At 43.7% G+C, this 20,984-nt stretch overlaps 1 long non-coding RNA gene across 1 annotated transcript in view, besides 2 other annotated features; it reads left to right on the forward strand.

Moving 5' to 3' along the window:
• The window catches only part of LINC01358 (long intergenic non-protein coding RNA 1358), a 67,772-nt gene that overhangs the window by 4,519 nt on the left and 42,269 nt on the right, over positions 1–20,984 (forward strand). The window lies entirely within an intron of this gene.
• Positions 1,589–1,648: an enhancer, noted in NCBI's record as "active region_1104". NCBI's record gives its function as "activates an Ori minimal core promoter by ATAC-STARR-seq in GM12878 lymphoblastoid cells {active_cell/tissue: GM12878}" and the evidence as "EXISTENCE:reporter gene assay evidence [ECO:0000049][PMID:35858748]".
• Positions 20,661–20,710: an enhancer, noted in NCBI's record as "active region_1105". NCBI's record gives its function as "activates an Ori minimal core promoter by ATAC-STARR-seq in GM12878 lymphoblastoid cells {active_cell/tissue: GM12878}" and the evidence as "EXISTENCE:reporter gene assay evidence [ECO:0000049][PMID:35858748]".

The following is a 20,984-nucleotide window of genomic DNA, read 5'->3' on the forward strand; positions in this document are numbered from 1 at the left end:
GCCTCAAAAAATGATGCTTGTTGGTGATGCCAACAGAAGGTTGCAGCTCTTCAAAAAAAAAAAAAAAAAGAATAGGTCTGGGCATGGTGGCTCATGCCTGTTATCCCAACACTTTGGGAGGTTGAGGAGGGAGGATTGCTTGAGCCCAAAGTTCAAGACCAGCCTGGGAAACATAGCAAGACTTTGTCTCCCCCCCCCAAAAAAAAAAAAATAGCCTGGCATGGTGGTGTATGCTTGTGGTCCCAGCTACTCGGAAGGCTGAGGTGTGAGGATCTCTTGAGCCTTGGAGGTCAAGGCTGCAGTGAGGCATGATTGCATCACTACACTCCAGCCTGGGTAACAAGGCAAGACCCCCCTCCAAAGAAAAAATAATCAGGAAGTGAGTTTATTTTGCTTTCCCCTTGTGTAGTCAAATTGATTTGTGTTTGAGGCATGTGAAAGCTAAATGCCTGGCCCTGTATAGGTCATGAGTCATCCCTATATCCTACAGTTTAACAAAAGACAGCCCTGCCTGTTCCCTTCCCCTCCCCACGCCCACCACTGAAATCATTGTAGAGGTAGTGGTCTTCTAGTATGTGACCCTTGGGCTACAATATCAACAGGTTCTAGGCCATATTTCCTTCACATCCACGTAATGAGCCCCGAAACCCAAGTGTCCTATTTTCCTTGAGGACATCTAGACCCAAAGCATCCCCATTTTGGAAGCCCAGGGACTGTGGAGTGGGAAAATATGCCTCCATTCCTCTCCTTCACATGTGTTTTTAGGTTAAAAAAGGCAGGTGCAAATCACAACTGAATATGAAGCCTCAAAAGAGGCCAAAGCAAATCAACTTAACAAAAATAACTTCTTATCACCAAACCTGGAGAAAAACTTCAGCTGTGGCACCTCCAAGCAATGACCACGTCCCTGGCTGACTTAAAAGCCCCTTCAGGACCTCATGTTGATTGAATCCCCATGATCTAGCCTCAAGTGAGGGCTGAGTGGGCTGTTCTTGAGCCAAGTGTCTGTGGTTGTGGATAAATATATTAATATCCTAGCAACTTGCAAAAGCCAAAGTACTTTAGACAGAATTTGTCGTGCATTCTCTTAACAGGAGAGCAGGTTTGAGATGGAGATCTGAGGATATTCTGAGCCAAGCAAAGAGATTCTTAGTAAATACACAAATTCATTTCCTTCTGGTAATGCTTGGCTGCCCCTTGCAAATTGGAGTCATTTTCTCGTGCGGCCTTCTAGTGTTCTTCTGAAATTTGAGGTTTGCTCTGTTTTCAAAATGTAGAAACCCATCTCAGTCATCCACCAAGCTTTCACTGAGCAACCAGATGCAGGCATTGTGCAGGGTTATGAAAGTGGAGATGTTTAAGACACGGTTTCCACCTTCAAGAAGTACACTGTCTAATCAGGAAGACTCACTGCAACATCCAGACTCAACTTGCTACACCCCACCCTGGTGTCCTCCCACTTGCCCTTTCTTCTACCTGGATGGAATGCCCTTGGCTCTCTTCCTCTTCTCTTGGAGGCTTCTCTCCACCCCCACCCGCAGCTGAGTTGCCCACACCTCTGGGATGCTCTGTACTTTGGTCACACATACGTTTCACATTTTCACCGAGCATGAGATTATCTGATATCCCATTTATCACTTCTTCCAGACACATTCCTTCAGCCTGTAATGGTTCCTGGCACGAGACAGGCACACGATCATTATTGGTGGAATGAATGAGTGAATGAATTCACAAGAAACATATGGCACTCAGAAACCTCAGGACCTCAGCTTAAATTCTAGCTCCAATGCTCATGTGTTGAGTGAAACTGACTGAGTTATTTAAGCCTCCTATGACTCACTTTTTCTATTTGCAAAATGGGAATAAGGGTTGTTGTGATGATGAGCAAATTCTTGTTTAGTGCTTATCAAAATGACTGCCAACTGGTAAGCGCTTCATGAAGAGTAGCCATTAAAACAGTTATCACTAACAGACATCTACTGAATCCCGACTGTGTGCCAGATAATGTGCTAGACACTGAGGCTACAAAATGAATAAAGTAAGATGTGTGCTTTCAATGAACTCCCAGCCTGGCTGGGAAGATAGATGTTAACAGAAATTAAAAGGCTATCTTACTAAGTAAGTGGGATATTGGGAACATGAGGTGGGGCACCTAACCCAGGCTGGACCAGATCAATGAATTCACAAGAGAAATGGTACTGGGGATCATGAGAGCTAAATGGAAAAGTCAGAGTCAGAATCTTTAAGGCCTTCCCCAAACCCTGCTCTAAATATTCCAACATGCCTAAGTGTTTTCTTTCCTTATAAATCCCTTCCTCCAGCCATATTGCTGATTATTCTTATTCTGTGAATTACATAAGTGTATTGTTTTACAATTTACAAAAAATTTCCACACACCGTGAGTCACTGGATTCTCCCAACTTCCCTATAGGACAGATAAAGCAGATAATTTAATATTTAATTCATGGGTGAAGAAGCTGAGGCTCTGAGAAGTCGCACTGCTTCTAAATGATCCTAGCTAGACATAACCCCAGGGGCTGACACTAATTCTGATGCCCTTTCAGCTCCCACAGCCTGGACACTCATAACAAGCCAGGAGCCCACCACCTCTGCTCCTTTGCCACACAGTGCCCCCTACCTGGAATGCCATCCCTCATCCCTCGTGTTTGTCTAAATTCTCTTTCTCTTCTTTGAAGTCTCTGTTCAAACCTTAACTGCCTCCCCCTGCCATCTAGTCTCTCCCCTGTCCAGACAGCCTATAGGGGTCTCTTGAACTCCTAGAAGGCCCTCTCTCTAGGCTGAAATAGGACTCTGACATCCTATGGCGGCCTGTTTATGGTTCTTTTTCATGTGCCCATGTCTGCCTCCCCAACCTGGCTGTGAGCCCCTGGAGGAAGAAACTGTGTCTTACTAATCTCTGTGGTTCGGATATAGTAGATGCTTAGTAAGTGCCTGTTGATTAAATGAATGGTATAAAGGTTGTTGGTCAATCTTCTGTTTAGGCTGACAGAAACATACTTGTGAGAGAAGCAGACTAGCTTTTACTAGGCAGTTAGGCCCTGAGTGCAGAGATGAAAGACATAGTCTCTGCATCAGGAAGCACCAAGTCTAATCAAGAGACAGCAAGTACATAGATAATAACTATACATATTGGAAAGTTTCAAATAGAGTACAAAGTACAAGGTGCAATTGGAGAACAAAGGCCATGGGGGAGGAGGGAGTAGAAGGAGGAGATGAAAGCAACAAGAGGAAAGAGGGAAAGGTGAGGTCTGAAGAAAGTCTTATAGCGTGAGTAGAAATTGACCGGGGGTACAAAGGGTGGCAGAGTACAAAGTACAAGGTGCAATTGGAGAACAAAGGCCATGAGGGAGGAGGGAGTAGAAGGAGGGGATGAAAGCAACAAGAGGAAAGAGGGAAAGGTGAGGTCTGAAGAAAGTCTTAGAGCGTGAGTAGAAATTGACCAAGAGTACAAAGGCTGGCATGATGGGATATAGAAAGGGGCTCCATGGTCTAGAAGAGTAACAACAACAAGAAGAATAAAATAGCCCAGAGGCATGAGAGGAACTGAAATCAATATAAAACTTTCTTGAGGGATTATTTAAATACCATCCTGAAGTCCAGATAGATTCTACCTCCTGGATGGTTGGATGGATGGATGGATGGATGGATGGATGAATGAATGGGTATTATGAACATTCATGTAACAAGAGTAAAGAGGGTATAAAGAGGACGCATAGGTAAAAGATGAGCTCTTGATTCCGAATATTAGAATTGTTGTTATTAATAGCTATGCTTTTGTGTTAACAAAAGCAATATAAGTTTATTATTAAATAACCAGGAAATAAAGGTAAGTGATTTTTAAAGTTGCTCTTAATCCCGCCATCCAGATATAACCACTATTAACATATTTATGTTGGCCTTTCCACGCTTTCTTTGGTGTCTTTCTATCTTAATCATCTGTCTGTCCATCTAACTATACATTTGTTTACATATCGATGATCTTTTTATTCATCCACCCATTCATTTATCCATCTATACTTTTCCAAAACAAACATAGGCTCATTTGGTGCTTTACATTTTGTAACCAATTTTTCTAACCAATTTATTATAAGAATCCAGTTATTTCTACCTATTTTTAAGTCAAATGTTAATAGCCACATAATATTCCATCCTATGAAAGTACTACACTTGGTTTAATCAATCCTTTCCCCCTTGTGCAGTTATCAAACATGTTTTAATGAAGATTGGTGCTCTTCTTTTGGGCCAAAGTAACAGCAAAGGGGTTACCTTTCTCTAAAGTTTATGAGGCTCTGAGTTGATTGACCAAAACTTGAACTTGATATAGGGTCATATTAATCCTCTGACATAAATCAGCTGCCTCCTGAAGTGACGTCTCTATCTCCACTGTACCTTTCCCTGGAAATGCCAGACAGGGCAGAAGGGCCTCCCCGACAGTGCAGGTAAATTAGTGCAACCATCAGCAATCACAGGTTATCTTCTGCTGATGGAATCTGACAGCACCAGCTTTCCCACATCTTCACAGAGCTGGTGATGCAGAGCTGTCAACTAACACAGCTGCACGGAAATGCCAACGGTGGATTTATGGTGTGAGGCAGTAACTTTGTGACCCCCAGGTGGAAAAACAGATGGCTTTGAAATAAGATCAGTCAATGTGGCAAAATGGGAGAGGGAGGCACTTACCTTATAGTAAAAGAGAATCCATCCTACCACTTCCTTGAAACTTCAGATCTTCAATGGCTCCGTATTACTTACAGGAAAAGTCCTAAGCTTTTCAGTCCAGCAAAGAAGTAATGAATGTAGTGGAACAAGGACTGGCTGGAAAGCCAGAAGCTATAGATTCTAGCTGCTGTTTTGCTACCCACCAGTAGTGTGACCTGGGCAAGTCACCAGTTCTTGAGTTTATTTTCCTCAATCTCTAAAATGATCATACATAGATAATGTCAGAGTGTTTTGACAAATGAGTCAGTAAAAAGTCATGCATCATTCAAAAATCATTTACTGAGGGATTTAATGTGCTGAGGGTGGAGTTGAGCAAGATAGACCAGCCCCTGACTAGGGAACTTGCACTCTAGGAAGTAGGAGTCAGAACATAAAATAATCAGCAGACTATGGAACAGTGATCAAGTGCCGTGTTGAATACAAAGTGTTGGGGATGGTAGAGACCAACGTAGTGCCCGGGTTGGGTTGGGTGGTCAACAGATGATGACCTAGCAGCTATGGTTGGAATGAGAAGCTAAACAAGCCACACAGAATCTGGGGAGAAAGAATTCAGGCTGAGGGATAGCATAAGGCCCCACAGGCAAAGGTGAGCTTGGTGTTCAACTAACTAAATGCATATTTACTAAGTGTCCTTCTGCTAGATTCCAGGGATTCAAGGACAAGAATACCAGAGTCTCTGCCCTCACTAAGCTTAGGGTGGCCAGGCGCAGTGGCTCATGCCTGTAATCCCAACACTTTGGGAGTCTGAGGCGGGAGGATCACTAGGTCAGGAGATCGAGACCATCCTGGCTAACAGGGTGAAACCCCGTCTCTACTAAAAATACAAAAAATTATCCGGGTGTGGTGGCGGGTGGCTGTAGTCCCAGCTACTCAGGAGGCTGAGGCAGGAGAATGGCATGAACCAAGGAGGCGGAGCTTGCAGTGAGCGGAGATGGAGCCACTGCACTCCAGCCTGGATAACAGAGCGAGACTCCGTCTCAAAAAAAAAAAAAAAAAAAAAAAAAAAAAAAGCTTAGGGTGAAGGAAGCAGATGATTAAACAGATAGACCTTTTGCAGTATGATGAGCACTGTGATGATGAAGCAGAAATTTGGAATGCTTCTGGGAAAATGTGACAGGAGCTTCTACCTTAGCCCAGGAAGCTCAGGGAAGCCTTCCCTGAAGAGGTGCCCTGGAAGCTGAGATCAGATCAAGCAACATCAATTTTTTTTCAAAGCCATCATGGGACTTGAGTTCTAACCTACTGATGGTCTACCTGCCCATGCACATTCTTTGGCCACACCTGGGATTCTGCTGAACCCTAAGTGACTTTGCAGAAATTCTTTACTCATTTGGAGGAAGCCCAGGGCATTGCAAGGAAAATAGATAAGGTTCATTAAAGCATTCAAAAAAATATGTTGTCATATTTATTATCACTTACTGGTGTAGTTCTCAAACTTGAGTGCACATCGCAGTCCCTGGAAGTCTTGTTGAAACACAGATTGATGGGCCTCATCCCCTGAGTTTCTGATTCAGGAAGTGTGTTAGTCCATTCCTATGCTGCTATGAAGAAATACCCAAGACGGGGTTATTCATAAAGAAAAGAGATTTAATTGACTCATAGTTCTGCATGGCTAGGGAGACCTCAGGAAACTTACAATCATGGCGGAAGGCAACTCTTCACAGGGTGGCAGTAGAGAAAATGAGTGCAAGCAGGGGAAATGCCAGACACTTATAAAACCATTAGATATTGTGAGATGCACTCACTATCACGAGAACAGCATGGAGAAAACCACCCCCGTGATTCAATTACTCTACCTGGTCCTGCCCTTGACACGTTGGGATTATGGAGATTACAATTCAAGGTGAGACTTGGGTGGGGACACAGAGCCAAACCATATCAGGAGGTCTGGGTAGGGCCTGAGAATTTGGTCAAGCAAGTTCTCAGGTGGTGTAGATGCTACGAGTTGGGAAACCACACTTTGAGAACCACTGACTTTGAGTGCTTGGCATTTGGGACATAGAGGTGGTTTTCTAATTCCCCTTAAAGCTGGTGGAGGGGAACAGAGAGAACAGAGCTAGGGACTGGAGCTCCCAGGCCCGTCCACTTGAGGCCCTCTCCAGCCTGGTTTCTCCTTCAGAGATTTTATAGCCAGCAGACCCCAAAGTACAACATCTAGCCTTGCTTTGGCATTTGTGTTCTAATGTGTAAATAAACTTGAAACTTTTCCTAATCTTCTGAGGAAAAAGTAGAGGGGTGTTTGCCAAGTACTGTGGTCTGAATGTTTATGTCCCCCAAAATTCATATTCTGAAATCCTGACCCCCATGGTAATGCTATTAGAAGGTGGAGCCCTCACAACTGGGATTAGTGCCTTATAAAAGAGGGCCCAGAGAGCTAGCTAGCCCCTTGTACCATGTGAGGACACAGCTAGAAGGCTCTACGTATGAAAAAGAAAATAGGCTTTTGCCAGACATCAAATCTGCTGGCACCTTGATCCTAGACTTCCCAGCATCCAGAACCATGAGAAATAAATTTAGTCTATGGTGTTTGTTACAGCAGCCCAGATGGACTAAGACTCCAAGCCAAATAAACAAGCTCCAAATGCACATTCTCATCTTGTCCTCTTGGGTAGTTTTCTCTCAGTTATTTTTTTCTCAGTCAGGGAATTGCCAAAGTCCATACTGATCCCCTACTGGGTCACACTCCTCAAATACCACTCTGGTCCAATGTGGCCTCTGGACTCTGATGACATCAGGATAAACCCACACAGGTATCTTGTAGTGAACAAAACCCCAGCCTTGCAATCGCATAATTCTCACTCTGAATTCCAGGACAACCGCTTAGCAAGGATCCTTTGTGGGAGCTACTTGAAAGCTCTTTGAGCCTTAGAATAGTGCAGGGAGGGGCAGCAATAGCTCCACAGGGTTGTTGGGATAATTACAGAAGACTATGAATGTCATACCTTTGGGTATAGTAGGTGCTCAGTAGGTTAGGGATGCTTACAACAGTCTGTCATTTAAAGTGGTCCTCGACATAGAATTGCTAGCTCCAGGCCCACCACCTTCTCCCATATTTCCCCAGGCCTCAAGGGTCCGCAATGGGTGATGGTGGGGTTATCCTGCCATGCCTACTATGCTTTCTTCCAGGACACAATTGCAGGCCCTTGACATCTTTTGCCTGGATTATTGCAACAGCCTCCAAAAGGACTCGTCTGTCTCCATGATACCCCTCCATCCTCCTCTGCATCATCACCAAGGGAATCTTTGTAAAGCAAAGGCATGATCATGCTTATCACCTGGTGGAAACCCTTCAGAGACTCTCCACTCCCCAGAGCAGGCACCACATCGTTAGAGTCTACAGAAGGCAGGAGGAAACAGAAATGAGTGCCGGGTCCATAGGTAGGCAATGGGGAGCAGTGGGGATTGCGGTGAAATGGAGATTGGCTGTCTAAAGGCATCCAAACTCAGAATTCTGTAAAACCTTCTATGGGCCAAATAAAGTTTGTCCTGAGATTCCATGCCTGGCCTTGAGTACCAGTGTGTGAGAGCTGGCCTGGCAAATGAGGTATAAGCTCCTTAGCCGGGCTAACCAGGTTCAGCCTCCTTCTTGCTGTGCCCCGCCTCACTTACAATTCATATAGCGACCAAACTGTCTGCAGTACCTCCACACCTGCCATGCTGGTCCTCAGCCATGTCCTTTGATCAAGTCTGGAAAGCCCTTCCCTTGCTCTTCACTTGGTGAATGAAGAAGTCCTGCTCATCCCTTTAAAACTCAGTTCAGGCAACACCTCCTCCAGGAAGCATTGTTTCGCACTTATTCTCAGGTTTTCCATATGGATATGTATCTTTTCCTAGTGTCCCAACAATATCTGTTGCCTTTCTTCATCATTATAATTATTAAGTGGCAATGGCAATATAATTATCTCTTTTGTTGCCTCTGTCTCCTCTGCTAAGGTGTAAGCACCTAATATCAGGGACCAAGTGTTAATGGCCTTTGTGTCTAGCAATAATGAGGTGTTCAATAATTGTTAAACGAATGAATGGAGAGGCAGGTCCCCCTGCCACCGCGCCTCCACTCTCCCATGAGGTAGGAAGCAATCTGAACAGTGAGTGGCACAGCAGCCACTTGGGAGAGGCATAAGACTGGTCACCTCTCTCTCCCTTTCCACCACAGGAATGTGTTGAGGACAGTACAAGCAACAAGAATTGGGGAACAAGAACGCCTTTGACTTCATCTCTCAGCTGTTACAAACTCTCCCCTATTGACGGTTCAAATTTCCAAGAGAGACTCTGATCATCCAGTGAAATCACCCAGGCTCCAGTGGGGCAGTGGACCACACAAGCTCTCCCCAGCTGCCTGCCAGACTTCCATTGGCTGCTTGTAGGCAGAGGCCCTTCTTTGCTCCAATGAGGACAGGTGCATCTGCCAGAAAACATGGCACCTTCTATGGATAGAAACTCTATCTTAGTCGGTTTGGGCTGCTATGACAAAATATCATAAACTGAGAGGCTTATAAACAACAAATATTTATTTCTCTCAGTTTTGGAAGCCGGGAAACCTAAAATCAAGGTGCTGGCAGATTCAGTGTCTGGTGAGAGCCCTTTCCTCATAGATGGCACCTTCTATACATCCTCACATGGCAGAAGAGGCAAAGATAGTCCCTTGGTCCTTTTTTTTTAATATAAAGATACTAATCTCATTTATGAAGACTCTGTCCTTGTGACCTAATCACTTCTAAAAGGCCCCATCTGCTAATACCATCACATTGGGGATTAGGAGTTCAACATATGAATTTTAACCAGGGGAGGACACAAACATTTATATCATAATAATCTCTAGGAAGGTCTTTGACTGGCAAGTGTTACGCAGCCTGGGTGGTGTAGGACTTAGGGCCAAGATTAGGTAAGCTGAGTGAGGGGTCTTGGGTGCAGAGTTTAAGGAGGGGTCCTCTTAGAGTCATGTAGGTGCCTCATTTGCCTCATCCTAATTTCACCCCTAACGGCTAATTTCGTGCATGACTTGAAGGCAGTCACTGTCTCTCTGACCATTAGTTTCTTAACCTGTAAAATGAAGTGGTCAGAAGACTATAAGTCCTGTTAGGTTCTCTGGGTTTGAAACTGCTGCATTGTTCCATAGCTCCTGAGACACAGCTCACCCTCTCCAACCTACCCACTGGACTTTTCCCCCTTTGTCTTAGGGGGGCTGCTCATCTGTGTAGTTAGTTTCCCCAGTCATGCCTGGCTTCACTGTCAAGGGCTCAGTTCACAAGCCACTTAGCAAAGGCAGTCATGAAAGAACAACATAGCGTCTGTTCTGGGCCTTCGCGGAGGACGTGCTCACATTCCTCCCCTCAAAGCAAAATTGATCGGCCATGACCTGGGGCCGCACCAAAGAGAAGGAATCGCTGGGGGCCGGGGTGCCATTCGGTGCCCAGATGAGGTCAGTCACCACATGGTCCTCAGTAGCCTCGAGGAATGAGAGATATTTGACTCCCCTATTAATCACCTGGAAGAGTTATGAATATCTTGGGTCAAAGTGACAGTTTGCCTCTTGACAGGAAAGAGGCCTAAGTTCTGACTCCCACTTAGAAAAAGTTCATGTAGTTTTGTTCCTCCAAGATAGAAACAGAGGACCATAGATATGGGGAAGGGGAGAAATTGAGAAGGAGCGAGAAGGCGAGAGGGTGTTGTTTATCCAGTTCAATCTCAGATCCCACACTTGAGCCTAAGCTCAAAGGGTTCAGTCAGTCATCCTGAATATGGAGACTTCTCCAAGGGGAGCTCTTTTGATTGTTGGGTAACAAAAATTATTAGAAATATTTTATTTTTATGTATTATATCTATAAATATAAATCTATATAAATACAGATGTGATATATAATATAAATATGTTAGTCAGTGTGAATGAGGAACAGGTCAATTTCTCCTCCAAATAGTTGCCCTTAAAATCTTTGAAGACATTATCATATTCCTCCTGAATTTCTTATTCCCCATACCAAAAAAAAAAAAAATCCCACAAGGTCAGGAGCTTGAGACCAGCCTGGCCAACATGGTGAAACCCTGTTTCTACTAAAGAATACACAAAAATCAGCCAGGCATGGTGGTGTGCACCTGTAATCCCAGCTACTCAGGAGGCTGAGGCAGAAGAATTGCTTGAACCTAAGAGGCGGAGGTTGCAGTGAGCCAAGATTGTGCCACTGCACTCCAGCCTGGGCGACACAGTAAGACTCTGTCTCAAAAAAAAAAAAAAAAAAAAAAAGACTTGTAATATAAGGAAGGGGCCAGGTATGGTGTCTCACACCTGTAATCCCAGCACTTTGGGAGGCCAAGGTGAGCAGCTCAGTTGAGGCCAGGAGTTCAAGATCAGCTTGGCCAACCTGGTGAAACCCTGTCTCTACTAAAAATACAAAACTTAGCTAGGTGTGGTGGTGCACACCTGTAATCCCAGCTACTTGGGAGGCTGAGGCATGAGAATTGCTTGAACCCGGAGGCAGAGGTTGCAGTGAGCCAAGATGTCACCACCACACTCCAGCCTGGGTGACAGAGCGAGACAAGTCTTCCAGGCAATCCCAACCCCTCTGTTTCACCTGGTCCCCTTCTTCTGGAATCACAATGTATCAGTGACCTTCATATGGTGTTGGTCCAGAACCATACATGGTTATGCAAGCATGGAGAACAGAGCAATCATCTCTGCTTGCAGATGCCATTGGGTGATGAGAGAGCCAGAACAGAGTCCCATTCTGCTGATCCCCAGGCACCTGGGATGATGGAGAAAACACCAATAAGCCAGCAAGAGAAGTGACTAGCCTTCCCAACATGCAAACACTATGTGTGGAATTTACCATGTTTGTATCATCATTCAGGGACCACAGACCATGCATCTAAACACCACCAGTACGTCCATAGATGCAGAAGCACTGACCAAATGGATGTACTATCCCCTGACTCAAACCAGTGAAAATTACATGGCCAATCTTTTAAAAAGCAAGTAGTGGGCCAGGCATGGCAGCTTACTCCTGTAATCCCAGCACTTTGGGACGCCGAAGCAGGTGGATCACGAGGTCAGAAGTTCAAGACCAGCCTGGACAACATGGTGAAACCCTGTTTCAACTAAAAATGCAAAAATTAGTCGGGTGTGGTGGTGGGTGCCTGTAATCTTAGCTACTCGGGAGGCTGAGGCAGGAGAATCGCTTGAACCTGGGAGGCGGAGCTTGCAGTGAGCCAAGATCTCACCATTGCACTCCAGCCTGGGCGACAAGAGCGAGACTCCATCTCAAAAAAGAAAAAAGAAAAAAAGCAAGTAGTTAGTAGCGTAGGGGGAAAGTCCTGGATAAGAACTCATGCCTCTTTGATTTATACCTGTGTTGCCTAAACTGTCTTCCTTTCCTTGATGACTAATATATATGTTAGCTGCTCAGCTTTTCTTTATACTACATTTTCAGGAGATGCACACTCTTCCCTGACTTCCCTTAGCCTAAAGTTCTGGAATAATTATCCCTTCATTTCATGTGATACCAGATTTTGCATACTTCTTTTAGTGATCCAATGATTCCCTCTTTAAGATATATATTAGTTCTATAAACATTACACAATATTGCTATGGAAATGGAAAAAGACTGTTCTTAACTTGTCCCAATAGTTTCAGCTCTCAAACTATTTATTTGACGTCTCCTGAACTTTTATCCTAAACCTATATCTGAAGCTTATATCCAAAATTGTCAGCTACCCCTATCCAAAGGGACCTCTCCCTTGGGGATCCCACAGGTACCTGAAATTCATCATCTCCCCTCCCCTATCCATTCCTCGAATTATTTGCCACAATCAATGGTCTTACGACCACTGCTGATCATAGCACTGGACAGTTGAAGGAGAAAATTCACATTCCTTGAGCATCTACCATGAAGGTTAACAACCCTGCAGTGAAAATATCATCCTTAGTTCACAAATAAGAAAACAGGGGCAGATTCTCTCATGCCCCACATCTAATTCTCCAACAAATGCAGTGGGAACTCATACAACTCAATAGCAAAAATACAAATAACCTGATAAAAAAAACCAACAAAAACCTAATAGAGATTTTTCCAAAGAAGATCTACAGATGTACAACAGGTGTATAAAGGTGCTCAACATAACTAATTATAAGGGAAATACAAATCAAAACCACAATGGGACATTAACTGGAATTTGTTAGGATGGCAATTATAAAAAAAGACAAGAGTTAACAAGTGTTGTTGGCAAGATTGTGGAGAAAAGGGAACCCTTGTATATTGTTGATGGGAATGCAAATTGGTATAGCCACTATAGAAAAGAGTATAGAGGTTCCTCAAAAAATTAAAAATAGAATTAGCATATGATGCAGCCATCTCATTCTAGGTATATATCTAAAGGAAATAAAATCACTATCTCAAAGAGGTATCTGCACTTCCACATTCATTCCAGCATTATTCACAAGAGCCAAGATACGGAAACAACCTTAATGTCTGTCAATAGATGATGGATTAAAAAAAGACATGCTATACAAATTTATACAATGCGATGTTACTAAGCCATAGAAAGAAGGAAATCCTGCTATTTGTGACAACATGGATAAATGTTGAGGATAATATGCTAAGTGAAATGAATCAAACACATAAAGACAGATATTATGTGTTCTCACTTATATGTGGAATCTAAAAAATTGACCTCTTAGATGTAGTGAGAAGAATGATCACTGCCAAGGCCTGAAGGGCGTGAGGGAAATAGGGAGACATTTGTCAAAAGGTACAAACATTTAGTTATAAGATGAATACGTTCTGGGGATCTCATGAATACCACAGTGACTACAGTTGATGATACTGCATTGCATACTTGAAATTTGCTAAGAGGATAGATCTGAGGTATTCTCACCACACACACACACACAAACAGTAACTACGTGAAGTGATGGATATGTTAATTACCTTGATTGTAATAATCATTTCATGATATATATTAATACATACATCACATCATCACTGTGTACACCTTAGATTTATACGATTTTTATTTGTCAAACATACCTCCATAAAACTGGGGAAAAATACAAACAGAAAACCAAATGCAATGAACTCCACTTTCCAAGTGCATCTAGAATTTGTGTGCATCTTCCACATTTCCAGCATAGCCACCTTGGTTCTGGCACCGTCACCTCTTGCTGCAGTCATTGCAATCACTCTCCCACAGCTTTGTCTGCTCCCATCATTGTTCCTCTAAAAGCTCAACTTTGCAGAGCCCCAGAGAGAAGTTTTCAGGGGATTTAAATCAACTCTGAACTGGATTTCCATCTTATTTAAAGCAATGTCCTTTCCACCGGACTCAAGGCCCTGCATGATCTGCCTCTAGTTGTCTTGGAGCTCATCTCCAATTGCTCCTTCTCCTGCCTCCTGGTGCTGCCTCAGACTCTCCAAAGTGCTCTTGCCTAAGGGCACTTGCACCTTGCTTCTCTTCTTCACCTGGAACACACTTCCCTCAGACAGCCACATGGCTTGCTCCCTCATTTAATCCCCCTGCTCAAACTGTGGTCATTCCCCTGACCACACTCTACATAAATTGTCTATCCTCTCCTTTCCTTCCCTCCTCATCTCCCCACTGAATTTTCCTCCACGACACATCAACAGCTGACATATGTAGTACATTTTTGTTTGTTGTTCAGCTCCCCTCATCAGAATGTAAACCTCATAAGCTTATAGTCTAGTGAAAAAATCTGTTTCATGTGACAACTAGTAGGTGCTCAATAAATAGTCAATGAATGAATGCATAGGAGGCAACTGGAAAAGCAGGGAGTGTCCAAAATAGTATGGGATTCAGAGACCATTTCCAATAACAATTATTGGAGGGAAATTCGACTTGGAAGGCAGCACTAATTTGTAGAACAAGGAAGGGAGTCATGAGGACTGACTTCAACTGCTTGAAGAGCTGACATACGGAGTAGGAGCAGACTCACTCTGCATTTTTCATAAAGTAAAACTCCTAAGTAGTTTTCCAGGCCAACAAAGTGGGTGTGGCAGGCATTCAAGACACAGAGAATCATATGAGCCCTGCGTCGAGGCTGAGATTTGGAAAGACGTGGCTTGTATGTTAAATACCAAATTAGTCATATGCAGCTGGAGGGGAGTGGTGGTCCATGAGGTCAGAAAGATAAACTGGATGGGCTTTTATTGCATTCATTTATTAATTCATGAAAGTATCAAATGCTCTACATTTAATTAGCACATATTATCTCCCAGGCTCTGTGCTAGGTCCTGGGGATATAAAGCCTGTAATTTAGAAATCCTGTCATTGAAAGATAAGAATGAACATTTGTCAAGGCCTTAAAGGTCTCTGTATATAATAGGTACTCAAAAAAAAAAAAACTGGATCCCTGAATGCTGGTGTCTGAGTCCATTTGGCTACTATAACAAAATACCTTAGACTAGGTAATTTATAAACAATAGAAATTCATTACTCACAGTTCTAGCAAATGGAAAGTCCCAGATCACGGACTTTATAAAGGTGTCAGCAATTCAATGTCTGGTGAGAGCTCTCCACTTCATAGATTCATAGGGAGCTTCATAGCGCTCTCTACTTCATAGATTGCACCCTCTTACTGGGTCATCACATGGTGGTGGAAAACAAGCCTCTTTCTATGAGGCCATTAATCCCATTGATGAGAGCAGAGTCGTCATGACCCTATCACCTCCCAAAGGCCCTGCATCTTAATACTATCACCTTAGGAGTTAAGTTTCAACCTATGAATTTTTGGGGTGGAGGGCACGCCAACATTCGAAGTATAGCAGGAGGCTATGTTTTTCTAGTTAATAATCATATTAATCCTATGAGGCAAATATAATTATGCCTGTTTTAGAGGTAAGGAAACTAAGATTTAGTTTTCTGACTTCATATAACTCATATGATTCTGGGCCATGCTATAAATCTAGCTCTGTCTCACATCAAAGTTTTTGGGTTTTTCCCCGCCCCACTATGTCCTCTTGTCTCCTCAAAACAGCTCAAACTCTTAGAAATAACTTCCTAGACCAGAGAAGTAAAAACAGGAGGGATGGATCCACTCTACTCATACAGGAAGGTTTTGAGTGGGAGCCTTAAAGGATGAGTCTCTTTAATCTCCCTGGCCCAGTAGTTACCAGAATTGCCTTGCTATCAATCCCTGGGGAGCAATAGGCACTGTTGTTAAGTGTGCCAGCCTTGGGTTGCACAGTCTGGAATTTGAATACGAGTTTTCCCCTTGATTAGCTATATGACCCTGGGCATATCACTTAATCTTGTTAAACCTCAATCTTCTCATTCTTAAAATGAGGACTAAAAATTATACCTCTGGGGTGCCCCTGTGGCTCACATTTGTAATTTGAGCACTTTGGGAGGCCAAGACAGGAGGATTGCTTGAGCCCAGGAATTCAAGGCTACAGTGAGCCATTACTGCACTCTAGCCTGGGCAACAGAGCAAGACTCTATCTCAAAAAAAAAAAAATTACACCTCTAATAGAAGATCACTATGAAATTAAATTGGATAAATCATGCAGAATATGTAGCAAAATTTCTGGCACAAAATAAATGATCAATGACTCTTAGCCATGGGATGAAGAAGATAATGGTGATGAGGATATTCTGGCTCCAGGTGACAAAGTCAAGGACATGTCTGGCTGATAAAGTCAGTTTAGCAGCTTCCATTAAGAAGTTATTCAGAAAAAAAGCTGGGACCCTGTCCTTTACAATCCCACAGTGAAATGTACTGTACTTAAGGAAGGGCAAGGAGGAAGGAGAAGTTCCTATCCACACCACAAAGCTAAAAAACCCAAGAAGAGTTTGGTTTTGCTCTGTTCTCAGTCCTTTTTAACTGAGTTTTCCTTTTTAAAAAAATACTATGGCCTTTGCCTGAGGCCTAATCAGGATGCCTATAAATGTGCATATTTATGGATGTTAGTATAATACACCTTAAAAAGTTCCCTTTGCTTTCAGATGCTGGTCTGCATTTTGTGCATGTCTCAGCTATGTGCTGGGTGGCTGCTACAATATTTCTGCTGAGGCAGGCAGAGTACACCCACCCAAATGCATTTCATCTAAATGTAGTTTGGTCTGGGACATCTTGGTAATCAGGGAAGACAAAGCAGATTAAAATCATGTGAGAGGCCACTTTCCCAGCGAGCTCAAACATGCTCTGCTGATAGAAACCACTCCACACAGGGCATGGGGGTGTGACTTTGTGGGGAAGAGGGGGAGGTGGAAGGATTGGGGTCAGGTTGTGACAAGGAGATGAAGGTTTGTTCCAGCCAAGGGGTCTGTCTGGGATGCCAGCCATGAGGAAAGCAAGCTTCAGCACAGATGTCTGTGATGTGGAGTAACCCCACGTATATTTCAAAACAGATTTCCTGGGGGAAATTTTTTGGGAATTCACAATATGTTGTTAAAACCAGGCAATCCTTTGAGGTTTGTTATTCTTCTTCTAGGACTCTGTAATATTCACCGGCAGGAAAACCCAAGGGAATGACTACTATGACATCTGATGGTGAGAAGGCGGCGTTGGTTGAGGGGAGTGAATGGGTTATATCTATTGAAAATCTACTATGGGTTTTTCTTCTTTTTTCTCTGATTATCACAGAAGAGGTTACTAAGTTTCAGAAAGAAGCAGGAATTAGTGCTTGGAGACCCAAACATCCTAGAAGGACCCTGGAGATCCTTTGTGAAGTTGAGAAGGAGGGAGATTATTGTTTAAGGTAGCTTCTGAGTTGTGCGCCAGGCATTGGAAACTAAGCCAAGGACACAGCCAGCCAGTGAGCAAGGCCTTCTCCAGATCATTCCGGGGAGTTCTGCTCCAGTTTAGAGGGCTGTTCCAGGTTCCCTCAGTGGTGATTTTGGAGGCTTCAAAGGACTTCCCAGTAGAGATGAGCAAAGAGAGGTCATCCCCATTCCCTTGAAACTGATTCAGCCAAGCCTTTCATGTCAACCTTCTGCACCAGTTGAGCAAAGCAGTAATCACACCCATTCAAGTCTTCTAAAGGGAAAGAAATCACCATCACTTGTCCTTATTCTGTTGCACTGGAAATAGATTTGTCAGATAAGATATAGGATACCCAGTTAAATTTGAATTTCAGATAAATGATAAAACTTTTTTGGAATAAGTGTGTCCCACATGTTGCATGGGACACACAAACTTGATCTGAAATTCAAATGTGACCAGATGTCCTGTACTTTTATTTGCCAAATCTGACAATTCCTTCCACAAGTCACTAGAAACATCTCATAATTGTGCCCCCCTGCAGGTGGTAAGAGGTACCATGTCATAGCACAACCTGCAAAAAGTGGTTAATGATAGAACATGCCACTGAGGGGTAGTGAGCCTCTTGTCACAGAGAGCTTACCTGGCTGTTTTCATACCTTCCCTGCACTTTTAATCCCTCACTCCTCAGCTCCTAGGGATAAGGAGCATGAATCCTGAGGCAGGTTGCTTGGATATGAACGCTGGTTAGCTGATGGCCTTACATTAAGTAATATAACCTCTCTGTGTTTTCTAGTTTGCTCGTCTGTAAAATGGGGGCAAGAGTAGCAATTACCTTGTAAAGTTGTTCTGAAGCTTCAAAGTGCTTAGTTCAGTGCTTGGCCCATGGGGAAGGAAGAAAAGACATTAATTATTACTGTTATTATTCCCTGGTACCTATATACAAAAGGAGTTGGGCTATTGAGAATCATGTAATCATGTCAAAGCTGGGGCAGAATTTAAGGTCTCAGAAGCCATTGCTGAACCACTGCCACTCAGAGAAGAAAAATATTTTGGGAGCATTTAGAGGAACTCTCTTGTTTTAGAAATGAAAACTCAAGCCAGAAAGGCCAAATGGCTCGCTCCAAACTTCACAGGTGGTTGAGAATAAGATCTTGGGGTAGAACAGCAGATACAGATAAAATAACCCAAAGGAATGGTGGAGAGCCTTTTGCTAGGACTCAGTAATTTAAATTACAGAATTACAGGATTTTAGAGCTACCAGAAGTGGGCAAGACAGCATTTGCCCCAGGGCCGGCCTAAAGCAAGACACAGACATAGGAGTCAAATGTTCTTGGGGTTCTAGTCCCAGTTCTGCCCTGGTGTTTCTTACACATCTTTTGGCAAGTCCTTACCTTCCCTAGCCTTCAGTTTCCCATCTGTACAACGGAGATAATCATCTGAGCTCTGTCTGCTTCCTCTGGCTATTGCGAAAGCTTTGGAAGGAATGACACCTCGGCTGCCTCCCAGGAACTAACCATCCCACTCTGCCCTTTTGGCCTCTCCCCAGCTTGTCAGAGTGCTGCCTTCCTTCACGTCCTTGGCTTCCAGCCCTCACAGGCATGAGATATCTGGGCCCCAACTGACTGATGACCAGCAGATTCTAGTATGTGGGGTGAGGGTGGGGAAGGTTCATTCTTGCTTGACTGGCCTGCATTGCCCATCAGCCTAGATTCAAGCCATGCAAAGAAGGCCTCTGAGCTCAGCTCTCAACTGATGCTTTTTGAATTGAGCAGAGTGACCTTGCTGAAAAGTAAGTCTGATCATGACACTCACCAACTTAACCCTTGCCTACAGGTGTTAACCTGGTCCCCCATCTGCGTTACCACTTACTATCTCTCACTCAGACTAATAGACCTCAGCTTTTCTGTGCCCACTACCCCTGCTCAAATCCATTATTTGCATAGTCACCAAGAGAGCCGTCTAAAATAAAAATCCAATTAGGCTGCCTCCCCTCTTAAAACCCATTATTCACTGCAGGGATTCTTTTCTTGTCTTTTCTTTTTTGAAACAGAGTCTCACGGTGTTGCCCAGGCTGAATACAATCGTGCAATCATGACTCTCTGCAGACTTGACATCCTGGGCTCATCAAGCAATCCTCCTGCCTCAGCCTCCCGAATAGCTGAGACTACAGGCACCCACCACCACATCACACTCTACAAAAAATTTCTGTTTTTTTGTAGAGATGGGGTCTTGCTATATTGCCCAGGGTGGTCTCAAACTCCTGACTTCAAGTAATCCTCCTGCCTTGGCCTCCCAAGGTGCTGGGATTACAGGTGTGACCCACCACACCTGGCCAACTGCAGGGATTCTTTATTTGAAGATCATGGATAGGTTTCAGGAAATATGTGAACACTCTGAAATGTATACCCTAGTTCTGTTTGTGTGAGTATTAACTTTGATCAGATTTTCAGAGAGGTCTGTGACCAACTTCCTGCACTAAAAAATGTTTACAAACCACTGCTCCACAGGATAAAGTTCAAACCTCTCAGTCTAAAGGAAATACAAAGCCATTCATGACACAGTTTTTACATACACCATCTTCATTTTGGATTTCTCAGCCCCAATTGCTTGAACATGTCTTGCCGTTTCTTATCTCCTTGCCTTTGCTCAAGCTGTGTCCTCTGTCTTGAAGATCCTCTTTTTCTCATTCTTTCCAGGGATCTCCCTCCCTTGGTTAAGTCCCAGTTAACTAGTATAACTTCATTCAAGAGTTTCTTCTTCCAGGAGCTTCCCAATATGATTTGGCTGTGGGCCCCACCCAAATCTCATGTTGAATTGTGATCCCCAGAGTTGGAGGTAGACGTGGTGGGAGATGGTTGGATCATGGGGGTGGTTTCTAATGGTTTAACACTGTCTCCTAGTGTTGTTTTGTGACAGAGTTCTCACAAGATCTTGTTGTTTGAAAGTGTGTAACACCTCCTACTTCGTGCACTTTCTCTTTTCCCTTCTTCACCATGTGAAGATGTGCCTGCTTCTCCTTCACCTTCTGCCATAATTGAATGTTTCCTGAGGCCTCCCCAGCCATGCTTCCTGTATAGCCTGCAGAACGGTGAGCCAATTAAACCCATTTTCTTTATAAATTACCCAGTCTCAAGTATTTCTTTATAGCAATGTGAGAATGAACTAATACACTTCCTCTGACCCTCTCCTCCACACCCATGCTGGGGAGATGTTCTTCCGTGGGATCCCACAATCGACATCCATCTGGCTCTCTAGAATTGCACTGTTCATGTAGTGCTCACAGAGATGAAAGCTCTTTGAGAACAAGACCACACATTATCGCTTTCTTCCTCTCCTTTTCTCAAGCAGTGGTTCTTGGGGACTGCAGCATCTCACCTTCATAGAAACTCAACACTCAGACCTCACCCCAGACCTACTGAATCAGAAACTCTGAGGTTGGGGCCAGTGAGCTGTGCTTTAACAAGCCCTGCAGGTGATCCTGATGCCCGCTGAAGCCTGGGAACCATAGTCCTGAAAAAACGTCCCTGGCTCTTGT

Source organism: Homo sapiens, chromosome 1, assembly GCF_000001405.40.
Source record: "Homo sapiens chromosome 1, GRCh38.p14 Primary Assembly".
Lineage (NCBI taxonomy): Eukaryota > Metazoa > Chordata > Mammalia > Primates > Hominidae > Homo > Homo sapiens.